General features: G+C 37.4%; 1 long non-coding RNA gene across 3 annotated transcripts in view; it reads left to right on the top strand.

The window, feature by feature from the left end:
- LOC105374510 (uncharacterized) overlaps positions 1-14,409 on the top strand; it is a 428,164-nt gene extending 413,755 nt beyond the window's left edge. For all 3 annotated transcript variants that reach the window (XR_001741602.2, XR_001741601.2, XR_925445.3), the window contains 2 exons: positions 6,486-6,585; positions 7,310-14,409. This is a non-coding gene — a long non-coding RNA (uncharacterized LOC105374510). The remainder of the gene's footprint in view (positions 1-6,485; positions 6,586-7,309) is intronic.
- The last annotated feature ends 999 nt before the right edge of the window (positions 14,410-15,408 follow it).

The raw sequence follows: 15,408 nt of genomic DNA on the forward strand, positions 1-15,408 counted from the left end.
ACTTCTGTACAAAAAAAGACAGACTTAAAAGAGTGAAAAGGCAACCTATGGAATGAGATACAATATTTACCAATCATATATCTGATATGGAGAGCTAATATCTAAAATATATCAACAACTCTTGTAACTCAACAACAAAAAACAAACAGCCCAATTAAAAATGAGCAAAGGACTTGAATAGATATTTTTCCAAAGAAGATATAGAAATGGCCATCATATACATGAAAAGATGCTCAGCACTATCAATTATTAGGGAAATGCAAATCAAAACAATAGTAAATAAGATATTACTTTTGACCCATTAGGATGAGTTCATGTTCTTTGCAGGGACATGGATGATACTGAAAACCATCATTCTTAGCAAACTAGCACAGGAACAGAAAACCAAACACCGCATGTTTTCACTCATAAGCGGGAGTAGAACAATGAGAACGCATGGACACAGGGAGGGGAACATCACACACGGGAGTCAGTCGGGGGTTGGGGGCTACGGGACAGATAATATTAGAAGAAATACCTAATGTAGATAGATGAGGGGTTGATGGGTGCAGCAAACCACCATGGCACGTGTATACCTATGTGACAAACCTGCACATTCTGCACATATATCCCAGAAATTAAAGTATAATAAAAAAAAACCTAAAACTAAAATAAAATAAAATAAAATAAAGGATGACTACTCTAAAAAATATCACAGGAAATATTTTATGATGTGCTTATTTCACATTGCATCCCTGTATCAAAACATCTCATGTATCCCATAAATATATATAACTATTATGTACCCAAAAACTTAAAAATAAGAAAAAACTTTTTAAAAAATCCCAGGAAATAAGAAGTGTTGGTGAGGATGTGGAGAAATTGGAACACTTGTGTACTGTTGGTAATGTGTAATAGTGAAACCACTATGGAAAACAATATGGCAGTGTATTAGTCTCTTTTCACACTGCCAATAAAGACATACCCCAGACTGGGCAATTTGCAAAAGGAAGAGGTTTATTGGACTTGCTGTTCCACATGGCTGGGGAGGCCTCACAGTCATGGCAGAAGGCAAGGCAGTGCAAGTCACATCTTACCTGAATGTCAGCAGGCAGGAAGAGAGCTTGTGCAGAGAAACTCCCGTTTTTAAAACCATCAGATCTCATGAGACCCATTCACTATCACAAGAACAGCACGGGAAAGACCGGCCCCCCTGATTCAATCATCTCCCACCGGGTCCCTTGCACAGCAGTTGGGAATTATGGGAGCTACAAAATGAGATTTGAGTGAGGACACAGAGCCAAACCATATCAGGCAGTTACTCAAATAATTGAAAATAGAATTACCATATAATTAAGCAATTCCACTTTTCGGTATATACCCAAAATAATGGATAGTAGGGCTACAAAGAAATGTTTGTACACTCATGTTTATAGTTGCATTATTTGCAATAGTAAAAAGGCAGAGCAGACCAAGTTTCTATTGACAGATGAATGGATAAACAAAATGTGGTACATATATGCATATCAATGAAAGTTATTCATTCTTGAAAAGAAGGACATCTTGATGCATGTTTCATTATGGATGTACCTTGAAGAATTTATGTTAGTGAAATAAACTGGCCACAGAGAGATAAATGTTGTATGATTCAACTAATATGAGGTACCTAGATTAATCAAATTCATACAGATAAAAAGTAGAATGATGGTTGCCAAAGTCTGGGAGGAGGAGGAAATGGGAAGCTTTTATTTAATGGCTATAGATTTTCAGTTTTGCAAGATAAACAAAATTGTAGATTGGTTTCACAACGATGTGAATATACTTAATAGTATTGGAAGCTGTGCACTCAAAAATGGTTAAGATGGTAAATTTTACATTATATGTATTTTATCGCAATTAAAGTAAATCTAAGAAGTTATACATCAATGTGCAGGTTTTCTCATTGCTGTCCATCATCAATTAGATTTTAGAAAAATTTGAGTCTTATAACAACTACTTACAAATCCACCAGATGTGAACTACATTGGAATTTATCATATTAATATTTATGTGCCGTAACTGAACCCTCTAAATTCTGCTTAATTCTTGTTTTAAAAATCAAAATCCGTTGGAATACATTAATCAAATATTTAAAAAATAAAATTATACCAAACTTTAGATTTTGGCAGTTTTATTGAACTGAGAACAAAGCTTGCATATGGGAAGTAATTTACATTAATTACAACAAAAATGAGAGTAAGAATTTAATAAATTAAAAAATGGGTGTTCAAATAATGTGTAAGATATAATTTTAAAATTTCTTAATTGTGCTTTGAAACATCTTGACTTGATTAAAAAATTCATTGAAGCTGTTACTGTGACTTGGTTCAATTCATATTTAATAACAGTAAAATGAAATTGATGAGGCCTGAGCTTGTAGCATCTAATTTTGAAACATCAAAAGTATGAATATGGAAATTATTTGATTAGTCTTGTATCAAAATATTTGAAGAAATGTACCCTAAATGGAGGAAAAGAAGCAGTACCTCTGAGAATAGTAAAGTTTTAATTTTCACGATTTAATATAGAAAAAATAGAACTGAGAATAATCTTTATTTAGAAGACTTTTCTCTGAGGTTACATTATTTTAGCCCCTGTAGAAAGAATGGTCTCTGAAATATAAATATTATAGTCTATATAGAAGAATCAAGGATTTAAGCAATTTCAAATTTTTGAACCTCAAAATGTACACATTCCTACCAATAGTATTATTAACTTTAATTGTTAACAGTCTTAGTGTGCTAAATTCTATCTCCATGGTAAGAAAAATGTACATTCTCACAGATTTAATCTATTTTTAAGTAAGTCATATCACTTTTAAAATTAAATTTTCAGATTTTTTACTGGTGGCAAATACATACAGACACATATAATGTGCGTGTGTATATATGTAATGAGCTGAAGATAAGATTCTTGAATTGCAGTTCTTTTTCCGCAATAAAATGTATATTTATTTCATACTTTTTAGTTGTGAAATTATATTTTAGGAGTCACAACTGGGCAAGAAACTACCAAAATATGCCTTAGTGGATCACCTGGGTGCCACACATATTCCTCTCTGTGCCCATTTTATAACCACAGCCCAACATGTCCATGCTAAGAAGACTCAATGACCCCTCCCAAGATGGTCATTCTTTTCCATCCATTCTGTTCCCTGGACACAAGGGTACTGGCATGCCCAGGCAACTGTCATAGCTGTTGGTTCCATGAGTCCTTTACAGTGTCTTCTGGTAACATGTGCCCACTTTGGGTAACAGCGGCGGACAATGACCCACCTATCAGCAGGAGGTTGTCCTTTTTGCCAGCTGAACACAAGTGAGCTATCTCCAATACCTCACCTGCTTTCTGAGAACACTCTCAGCATCAGATGTGGTAGCATCTTTCCATGAAGATGCTGAGATGGAGTTTGACCTGCAGGAATTTTTTGGTTTTTTGTTTGTTTGTTTTTTGAGAACTCCTTTGGAAAAGAGAGAAAGTAAGTAAGGTTGGATACACAAAGACACTGACTCATGTCAAAGGCCTGGCAGAAACTCTGCCAACCCTCTCTGGAGCTCTGGAAATACACACGGCCCATCAGAGTTGTCCAGAGTTGGACCAAAATGTTTGGGCCTTTATACCCCAATGTAGATTGGTCATTAGATGTGGACCACTCTGAGGAAGAGGTATTGTAGGTCACTGCTCCTGCAGCAGACCCTGAAGGGACTTATAGCTGGAACAATCAAAGGAAATCTAAGTGGTCCTACTGTGTGTCTATCATGGACAGTAGGGATCTGGCCTCCAAATGTCTCATTTTTTTCTCCAGTGTTTCAGGTTTTTATATTTTGTTCTGTCCTTTTGGATATTTTTCTCACTTGTTCTTCTAGGTCAATAATAAAGCTTTTAATAGTAGTCTACTGATTGCTTAATGGAAAAATCATGATTATTTTTAAACTCCAAAGTACATGTCGGAAGATACTTTTCTCCTAAGTGCTCTGATCATATTTTTACTCAAGTTTTCATTTAAAGCCTCAGCTGTTCTCTTTCACTGAGTCGATGTTGTGATCACTCTGCTTGATTTTCTACTTCCTGAGTGCTTGACCTCCCTGGATAGTTTGTCTTTCTGCTTTGTTAGCATATGGGGGCCTTCAGACTGGCTTCTGTCATATTCTAAATGGGAAGGGGAAGAAGCATGGGGCAGTGTAGAAAGAGGGATGTTGCCTCCCCGCCATCCTTCCCCCTTCCAAGGAACTATAAAGATGCTTTTTCCTTCTCAAGTACCTTAGACTCTCCTAATCAGAATCTGTCCATTCATATTGCAGTTTTCATCTTGCCCATTTTCTAAAACTGATGAACGTTACCTTTTTTTGATGTAAAAAAGTACAAAATATTGTTACGCTTTTTTTCCATCTATAGGCAGTTGGACACTATGTCAATTCATGGAAAAGCTACAAGAATTCTTCTGAAATTTCCTTTCACATCTCTAAGGCTCAGTTTCCTCTTCTGAGATTTTACTCCTTGAGGAAATTATTCCCTATACTGGTTATTGCTAAAACTACCTTCAAATAACTGCCTACACAAGAAAAAGAGACAGGTTTGATAGAAAACTACAATACAACATTGTTAGAAGAGGAAAGGTTCGGGAATCAACTTGAGTTTGAATTGCAGCTGTTTATTTACTATGTTTAAATGTTAGGTAAATAATTTAATTAAAATGGAATGCTATTCATTCTCTTTAAAAATGTTTAAAATCATCTTGAAAGTTAATTTTGTTGCTTAGGAAAGATTTTTATGTATACTAGTTAGTTGGTGGGGCTTGAACATGAATTCAGAACTGTCTGATTCCAAGAACCTATGAAAAATTATTTATAATGATGTCATTTACAGCTTTATGTAGCAGCAGCATTTCTCTGTTTCTTGTTTTTAATCAGTTTTTGCCTTCCTTCCATTCCTCCTTTCCTCTGTGTCCCTCTTTTTCTTCCTTGCTCCTTGTTTCAATGCATATTACAATTACCAACTCTATGTCAGCTACTGTGCTAACTGCTTGATATATAAGGTTGAGCAGAATCATCGTAATTTTATCCTTCAAAATATTTTACAGTCTACTAAGGAAAATCAAAAGTAAACAAGTAGAAAACTCAAAAATAAATAATTGCCGATTGTGATAGTACTATAAAAATAATGAACAGAAAAATAACAGGAGGGGATTTACCTTTGGGATATCAGACTCAGATCATGCCCTGCCCCAGATTTGCTTGAACCCACCTGCCTCCTGAGACCAGTTCTCTCCCTCCATAGAAAGCCCTGATAGTTGCTGGTGTTACACTATCTGCTAGTTGTGCAGGCTGCCTGGGCTTCCCCTGGGGTGAGATGTAGGCAGCAGCATGGCTTTCATTGTGCCTGGTGTGGGGAGTCCACAATAGCTCTGGCATCTAAAGCCCAGCCAGGCCAGGTCCATTCAGGCTCTTGCTTCTTCTACCCCTTCCAGATTCAAATAAAGCAGTGGGCCACAGAGTATGGAATGTGGCTTCCTAGTACCTACCTGAGAGGTAGTAACACAACCCAGAAATATGGGAGTCGTTGCCCAATGGGGCGATTCTTGACTAATGAAAGATAGGAGACCAGAAAGAGTCAACAGATTCCTTCCCTTCCTCCTCCAGAGACCTTCTTTGGAAGCACGAGGGTTCCAAGCTCTCTGCCTGAAGTATTTTGTGTGACAACATGCCTGATTGTGTTTGATTATGAGGCCTATTGATAACATGGTTTTGCTCTGTCTCTATCTTAACCTGGGATTTGAAAATAATAGAACTTGAGGTGATGTTGATGTGCTCACGCTTTATTAAGGACATAACCTCTGGTTAGCAAGAGTGAGAAAAAAAGGTAAGTATAGCAAGAAAAGGAGAAAGCAAACCAAGTTGGCACATTACCAAATGGCCACGGCCTCCCTGCAAACATAGCACCAGAATCTTATGGAATGGATCACGTGGATTAGAGAAGCCACATGGACACACTGTGTTTTGAAACAGTCTTAGGAAAAGCAAGGGAGAGATTTGTCAGGTGCTTTTCACCTCTTGTTTTTCATTGGTCTACTTTTGCCCAAGGGACAGTAACTTCCCCATATTATGGGTGGTGTTACTCAGTGCCTCCTATATCTGGGAAAGCCAGAGTCTTCATAAATTCAATAAGGTTAAACCTTTTCACTGGAAGTCCTGGCTCATGATAAAAAGGGGAAGACACAGGCCATACCAATGCCTGGCACTTATTCCAGATGAGAATGGGCCTGAAAGCAGTGTGAGGAGATATATTATCAGGAACTAGTGGCCAGATCTCTGCATTAAGAAAGTGGTAAAGGAAATTGCTATGGCCATATACTTGGTCTGGTCTACCCTTCTTTCCTGCCTTGCTTTGCTTTCACTCTTTCTTGATGTCCTGGAATGAAAACCCCAATGATGTATTAGTATATAAGCTTTGGTGTTTCTGTGTTTTTCTAGGCAACTTGAGTACAATAGGCAGCCACAAATATCATCCTTGCTAGCCAGGAATGACAAGGAGCAAGCCACATGAGGAGTCAGAAAAGATTATTCCAGGCAGGTAAGTGATCCCCCAATACTCTTACACACAATAAATATACTTTCTTTATTTCAGTAATGCCTGAACTTGTTTTAATCCCTTGCATGCTCTAAAAGTTAACTCATTATCAACCTTTATGATTTAGTATTTTTATTTTATACTTCGAGATCTTTCCATATTAACACTCGATCACTCATTGCCTCAACAAAGCATTGGCCTGACTGCAGTCATTACTCTTACATTATTAAGATGCTTGATAATGAAAGAGTGAGAATAAATACACTGATGAGGAACTAGCTCAAAATGGGGCCAATCATTGGGTAAAGGCATGATTGGACATTGTGGTTTTTGGAATGAAAATCTGACAGCCTCATTTCTAATTCTGTCCATACTCTAAGGAACCCATAGATCTTGAGCATGGAACTCAACATCCTAAGCATGGAAGGCAAGAGAACATGGCTCTCAGATCTGCAACTGCAGGAAGCCCAACTGACAGATGCGCCCCTCTGCCAAGCTCTGAAATCTACCCCCACATTCATACTGAGGTCACATCTCCAGGCTGATCATAGCCAAAAACTGAATGTGGAAGGGATGCAAGGACAGACATGCTCCTGGGAACTGAATGCTTACTTTGAGGCACAACTTTGGCTCATGATCTCCTTATAGGCTCTACTAAAACTTACTAAGAATTGCACAGTCTATGACTTTTCTTACCCAGTCTCTTGTCCTTCTCTCCCATCCACAGGGCTGAGATCTGCATTATGGTCTGGAGGCTGCCCCAGTCTCTCCTTTACCTCCATATTTTTCTCACAGGTAATTTCTTATCTTGCATATATAATTCTATCTTACATCTATTGCTTATAGGACCAGAATTAACGTATTTGGGCTTGAACTTCCTCATCTGTGAAATGTGACTATAATTATAACAGCTAAATTCTCAAGATTAACCTCTTAGCTTTCAGGACTGCTTATGTTTCATAAATGTAGTTATTTTGAGAATATTTATGTATAATATTTATAACAGGAAAGAAAAGTAAGTAAACAAGTTTGTGCCAAAACTCTACATCAATTCAATAGCTTTGTGAATAGAGTGATTAGAAAAACACAATTAGACTATTGAAAGTTGAGAAAAATTATCTAAAATTGTGGTACCTAAACCATACTAGGAAGGAAGCATCATTGTCTACAAGTTAGTAATTATGGGTAAATCACTCAGAAAAGTGTCTAGCATAAAAACAACTTAATAAATGTTCACTATTATTATTTTGTTTCACTTGTTACCACTTCTGTAAGCTGACCTTCAAATGGGTAAAGTTAGCAGCCATGACATGAACAATATCTAAACAAGTTGGCATGGGCTATATTCCAAAAAAGTCTTATTTATGGTCACAGAAATTTTAATTTTATATAATTTTAACACATCACAAAGTATTCCTATTCTTGTAATTTTTTCTCATTGTTTAAAAATGTTAGCAAATGCAGGTCAACAAAAGATATTGCCAAACCATACTATGTTATACCTGGATTGAAACTCAGGGATGGGTATAGGTGAAAAAAAAAAAATAAGTGTGGGTTAGGGGAAAAGGAAAAGAATAGAGTAAGACAGAGAGAGAGAGAGCTATAAAGACTTTCATCTTTAGCTTTGCACCTTGTGGAATAGTGGTCTTGGTCCATTTGTGTTGCTACAAAGGAATACCTGAGATTGATTAATTTATAAAGGAAAAGTTGTATTTGTCTCATGATTCTGCTGGCTGAAAATCTGGCATCTGGTGAAAACCTGAGGCTGCTTTCACTCATGTAAGAAGGTGAAAGTGAAGGGGAGCCAGTGCAGGGAGAGATCACTTGGTGAGAGAGAAAACAAGAGAGAGGGAAGGAGGCACCAGGCTCTTTTTAACAACCAGCTCTTGTGGGAACTAATAAGAATGGGAACTCACTCATCCTCCCTCAGGAGGGCATTCATCTATTCATGAGGGGTCCACATCATGATCCCATTAGGCCATGTCTTCAACACTGGAGATCAGATTTCAACGTGAGATTTGGAGGGGCCAGATATCCATACTGTAGCATGGTCCAAGCCAAATAGATCTAAAGACAAGGTAAGGTAACATAACTCTAGCTAATATTTTGGACACATGGACACACAAGAAGAATTGATCCTTTAATTCTGTTACTAACTTGAGGTAGTCTAGATCAAGGATCAGCAAACTACAGACAATGGACAAAATCCAGCCTACCACCTGCTTTTGTATGTTCTGCAAGCTAAGAATGTTTTTATATCTTAAAATTGTTGAATAATATTTTGTGACATGTGAAAATTAAATGAAATTCAAATTTCCATGATTATACATAAAGTTTTACTGGAACACAGCCACGCCAATTTGCAGACATGTTGCTTTTGGCTGCTTTCTGGCTACAAGACAGTCAAGTAGTTGTAACAGAGACCACATTGCCAAAAAAACCTAAAATATTTACAATGAGGCCTTCTACAGAAAATGTTTTGCATCTCCTGGTTAATATCCATACTCCAATATCACATTTTGGGGGATCCACATTCTGGTTTGTAATTTTCAAAAACTTTGGACACAAGTGACCCATTTCTAATGTTCAAGGAGAGGCTTTGATGGGAAGTGCTGACCCTCCTTTCTGAAGAGTGATATTAATAAAATTGTTTCAGTCAGCCAGTCTAGGAACAGGCAATCTCCTGTCTGCCACATGTGCCAAGTTAATAAGCCTCCAAGAAGGTTACATTGCAGGTCTTGCTTTGTGCCTGGAACATCTTGGTAATTATCAAACAGCTTCATTAAACACACTGGTTCCCTATACTGTACTTCAGGCTTTGTTTTAGTTATATTTTTCCATTCTCTAAATAGATCTGTGTATTCATTGCTTTGTCTTATTATGTTGAATGTTACACTGAACTGTACCTAGACACTAACAGCTGAACAGCAGAATGGGACAAGCAGATTTAAAAAATATATATATCCAACAAATTTTTTTCTAAGGTACTGTGGAATCTGCATTCAACTCATTGATATATCCTGAAGTAGGCTTTCTATTGGCTTATTTCTAAGAATGTGTTGTCTTTCCTGATTTCAGCATTCAATTATTTTCTCTTTTTTTTCTTTTGAACTTTTTGGTGATTTTTTGGGTAAGTCCCTTTCTTGTTCTTTATAAAAGAGAAAAAATAGAACATTGAAGAAAAAGAACAGAATTTTAACTAACACTTCTTATGCTTAAACTAAGTAAGGTGAAAGAAAGGAAGCTTGGAATAATCCAATTTTCTCTTATAACTGGTATGGGCACTCACCCTTACAGTTATTTAAGCTTAAATGCAAGTGTTTATATTTTGCTTGTTTTAGTTTACATCTTATCATTTATAGGAGGCTGTGTAATGCACCCTAAGTAAAGACATCATTTGCATAGCTCACAGTCAAATGGAGACTCAGTGAGTATTATGAAATATCAAATTAGAGAAATCATGTAAAAATAACTTCCCTCTGCCTCAATCTCAGCTGCATTTCATCTTGCCCTACATTTTTGTGGACCTGTATATGCAGATAAATGTATGACTTCACAAGTTTGCTTGAAGTGTATGAGAAAGACAAAGCTTTACACTTATGGAGCTAACAAGATCCTGAAACACTTTGACATCAGTTGCTTTGGCAACTTTAGGCTGAATCAATTCATTACACCCTGATATTAGTTGACATCCTGTGTGGATATTTTATGGGAGGGGGATGGTCCACAAACTGACATAGTCCTGACCCAGAAAATTCTCTGGGAACAAGAATTCCACTTGGATCCATCCATTGCTATTTTTCTCAGCCTCAGGAGTGAATGTGTTGACATGTACATGCTTGTTCACCCTGCCAGCATTTACTAAGCACCAGCTATAAGTTAAGATCACAGACATAAAGATGAATTAAGACATCTTTAATTTTCCCATGGTGTTTCATGTCTAGTACAGAGATGACTTATAAGTCCTGCTACAAGGGGATATTACACAGGCTCTGAAAGATCTGCATACAAGTTTTGCCCACATACATATGAAGAAAGAAAGACTTCTTAGAGAAGAGAATACTCATGCTTAGAACCTAGAGATGTGTGGGAGTAACCAGGAGAACAAGGACATATCATTCCAGAGAGATGGGGATGGATGGTAGCTGGTCGCTGAAGATCTTTCCCCTGCCTTCCCCACATCCATAGTCATACCTCACAGTATTCCTGTCCTTGTGTAATCCCCAACCATTGGGTCTGGACTTGCTCTTGGATTTACTCTTGGTTAATAGAATGTGGCAGAATTGTTGCTGTGTGACTTCTGAGGCTTGATCCTAAGAAATCTATGGCTTTCTTCTGGGCCTCTTTGAACTCTTGGCTTTTAGATGTTCCCTCTTGAAAGCCACCTCAGAATTGCACCTACCTGAGCCCCTCATGTTGTGAGAATCCTGAGCCATTGGGAAGACTCTGGAGAGTGAGACATCACACTGAGTAGGAGAGGCCAAGAGCCTCAGTGTGAGGCCCCAGGTGTGCATGAAGAAGCTGTCTTGAAAGTATGTCTTCCAGCTCCTTCCACCTTAGCTGAAGCATGGAATTGGGCCCTTCCTAAATTAATAATCCTCAAAAATATGAGCAAAATAAATGATTATTAAAAGCCCCAATGTTTTGAGGGTGGTTTCACATAGCAATGAACAACCAAAATAGAGGGTATATGTGCAAAAGTGTTGAGTATGCAGGGTGTATGTTTCAAAAAAATTATGACCTGGAAGTAGCAGGTAGTTCAATAGATTTTCATGGTCGGAGAAAGAATGCTAGCCGGAATATACTGGTATTGGAACATTTACAGCTACAAGTGTGGAAACACTAGCTCGATCTGAGTTCAGAGGTAAAGCTGACTCCAATCATGAATGAGACAAATTATTCAAATGAGGTCATGAAGTCTTTTTCTGATTCCTTTTCTACCTCCTCCTCCTCCTGCTGCTGTTGTTGTTGTTCTTCTTCTTCTTCTTCTTTTTCTTCTTCTTCTTCCTCTTCTTCTTCTTCTTCTTCTTCTTCTTCTTCTTCTTCTTCTTCTTCTTCTTCTTCTTCTTCCTCTTCCTCTTCCTCTTCTTCTTCTTCTTCTTCTTCTTCTTCTTCTTCTTTTCTCTCTCTGTCTCTCTCTCTCTCTGTCTCTCTCTCTTTCTCTCTCTTTCTCTCTCTTTCTCCTGATCATTCTTTTCTACATACTGGAGAAGATGACAATAAGTAGCTTCAAAATTACACTTTTTTAGCTTTATAATCTTTTTAATTCTAGTTCCAAACTGAGTAACCCAACAGTAGGTCTCGCTGACTGGATATGGTTCATGTGCCCAGCCCTGGATCAAACACTCTGGTTAGTAAAACGAGCTGTTGCAATTCACTAGGTTAAAGTCAACTTTTCTCCCCAGAAGTGGTGGATGCTGTGGGTAGCATTTCCACACAAATCAAATTAATAAAGCAAGGAAGAAGCCATTTCCCCAGGGAACAGAGGATGTTAGACAATAGCTGTTCACTGCAGGGAAAATAGCAGGAAGTAAATATATTTTAGTAGATGTTTTTTGTGGACAGTGTTATATTTGAGGTGCGGGTAAAGCCAGAATTTTTCCAAAGACTGATGTATATTGTTGTATAGCCACTTTAGTATGTCATTGATTAGATGTTCTTTCTTGGTTATATAGCCTGCCAAAGCCATGTGCATTGTTTTATTTAATTATTTGGCCTTACTTTGTTATACTAAAAAAAAGTTACAATGTTTTTCTCTTAGGAGGAAAATATTGATACATTATAAACATTGCATTTGCTTCCAATTGTACAGATGATTTTGCATCAATAAAACCATATTCTCTCATATGGCCTATTTGCTACTCAGTGACACATTGTTTCAAGATGCTGAGTAAAGGAGGTTCATCTATAGCTATAGTATCTTCCTGCCTTCATTCACTCATTCACTAAATATTTAATAAAATCTTTTTTTCCTGGACTACATAGATGAAATAAAGAAAGAAAGTAAAGAAGGAAAGAGGTAATTGGCTTTGAGTTTTCCAGTAGCCATAAAAAATGAAGATGAATGCAGAAAGATGATCAGTTCTATCTGCTTTGATTTTCCATGAAAGAAAACATAAAATTGAAGCTTCTTTAGCAATTAACTAAAAAAAAGACTTTTCTCATACAAAGGTTCATATAGAAGACACACTTAAAAGAGAGGTAAATAATTATGTTTTTAATTACATCTTTCCTATAGAAAAAAATCTAGAAGTTTTCTGAAACAAATAAGAAACAACTGCTACACTCAATCACTTACCCAATAGTATATGAAAGAAGTATAATCATGAATAATGGTGATGTTTCGGATGTGGTTGTTCTGTAGTGGATATACCCAGGGTGTTATCAAAACAAAGTGGGTGTTTTGCTAACAAATCTGGGTCTCAATGGCTTTATTCTCCTCAGGGGCCTATACATATTATGGAAGTTTGGCCACTCTGTTGTCAGATACACTGGAAGCAACTCAAGAGCAGATATGGACTGGGAAGTCCATCAAGGCTGTTAGACATCCATTCATTGACTGTAGATAGAGCAGCAGGGGCAGCAGAAAGTCTTGTGGGAACAGAAGATGTGGGTGCCTAAGTTAGGATGCCTTCTTAAAAGCTGATTTCTTCCCAGCTGCCTTGGCCTGGCTTTTAAAACACAAATTAAGGGAAGTGAGATAAAATGTTATTTCAAGGATTTCCTCCAGTCAAGAGGAAATTGACATTTTTTTCCATGTTAATTTGTTAGTCTCATTGACAGCTATCAGAAATATTATTCAGTGTCACTACACTGTATCTAGTAGGGTTAGGAAAAAAAAAACAAAAGGAATATGAATCATTCTTGACAGTAATAAAGAGCTAATTAAGATGTGAGGCCAGGTGCGGTGGCTTAGGCCTGTAATCCCAGCACTTTCGGAGGCCGAGCCGGGCAGATCACCTGAGGTCAGGAGTTCGAGACCAGCGTGGCCAACATGGTGAAACCCCATCTCTACTAAAAATACGAAAATTAGCCGGGCGTGGTGGCAGGCACCTGTAATCCCAGCTACTCGGGAGGCTGAGGCAGGAGAATCGCTGGAACCGGGGAGGCAGAGGATGCAGGGAGCGGAGATCGTGCCATTGCCCTCCAGCCTGGGTGACAGAGTGAGACTCTGTCTCAAAAAAAAAGAAAAAAGAAAGAAAATGTGCACATGCACAAGGAGAAGTATCAAGTATCAGGTAGTAGTTAGGAGAACAGAACCTGAGGGCAGACAAACTGGATGGGTGTGAATCCTGACACCACTATTTACTAATTCTTTCATCTTGAAAAAGTTACTGAATTTCTCTGTGCCTCTGTGTCCTCATTTGTAAAATACAGATAATTTTACGTACTTCATGAAAATGTTGAAAAGATTTAAAGAATTCACATAAAGTACGCGGAACAGCAACCGGCACGCAGGTCAAAAAATACATATGTTAATTTCCATTTTTTTTTTTGTTTATGTAGCTTATTAACAACAGCAGTATTTTAGGTAACTTCTCTTCTGATACCGATTATCTCTATTTTCTGACTATCACTATTCTCCCTCTTTCTTCCTCTATCTAAACTACCAATCTGCTTATCTTTACACATCAATATATAAGCTCCCAAATCTCATAGGTTTGAAAACTTAGGCACAAAGAACTTTCAGCATCTCTGCCAGCAATTATTTCAAATTGTTCAGAATAATATCAATTAAACTTATGATGTGGTTAATTTCACTAACTGAGACTAAAGACACAGGCTAAATGTGTCATGAGATATATTTTTCTTTAAAATCAGTGTTTCAAAGGTCATCAGCAGCCCCCTTGCTCACTAGGCTGTTTTTTTTTTTTTTTTTTTTTTTTTTTTTACAATGTGTACTTATTATTTTGAAGGAGTTGGTCTTACGGAATTCACAAATACTGTATGCCATTGTATCACGTCAAGCAGTCCTTCTCATAAGGTAAGGAAATGAAAAAATTAAAATCTCATTTAGAACATTTTTAGTTTACACAAATCAAGTACCTGAAACCTCCACGTTATGAAACATACTGGTATGGGACATTGTTTAAGAGCATAGGCTTTGTAGCCAGTATGCACAGGAATGAAGATGGCTTGGAAACTTATTAGCAGTGTGATCTATAGCAAGTTAACAACACTCTCTTTGCCTAGTTTCCTTGTCTGTAAAATGAGGTACTAACAGTTTCCATCTCATAAGGTGGTTGTGAGGATTAAATTAGTTAATAAATGAAAGGCACTTAGAAAAAGCATTTGACATCTACAAAGAAATTCATCTTTGCAATAATTTTTCTGCTCAAAAATCCCTATCAGTGAAGTTAAATACAATCATTTATTTAGCCGTGCACTACAGGACTGCAGCTCCCACCAGGCTTCTTTTGTGCCTCTATCTTACTTTTTTATTCCAGCCAGCTGAACCCTTTTAAGGCCCTCCAGTATGGTGACATCTTTCTACTCTTGTGGTTTTAGTGTTGGCAGAGTTTGTTGCCTGAAAGCCTTCCTCTGGTTACTTTTTCCTTGCAGGCTCAGATCTCAGCTGAATGTCAGCAACTCAAAGCAGAGTCTCCTGACCCCCGTGTTCCCTCACCACAATGCCATGATGCCTCACTCGAAGGCCTTGCTTCCTTCACAGCATGTATCCCAGTGCACAGTTATTTTATTATTTGTTTATTTTATTTCTTCTGCTTCCCTAGTAAATTATAAGCCCCATGAAGTTAGAAAACTTTTCTGCCCTTTACACAACTTTTCAAAAACGAATAGATACAAGCCAAGTATAAGTTATGAGAT

The sequence above is a fragment of the Homo sapiens genome, chromosome 4 (genome assembly GCF_000001405.40).
Source record: "Homo sapiens chromosome 4, GRCh38.p14 Primary Assembly".
Taxonomy (NCBI): domain Eukaryota; kingdom Metazoa; phylum Chordata; class Mammalia; order Primates; family Hominidae; genus Homo; species Homo sapiens.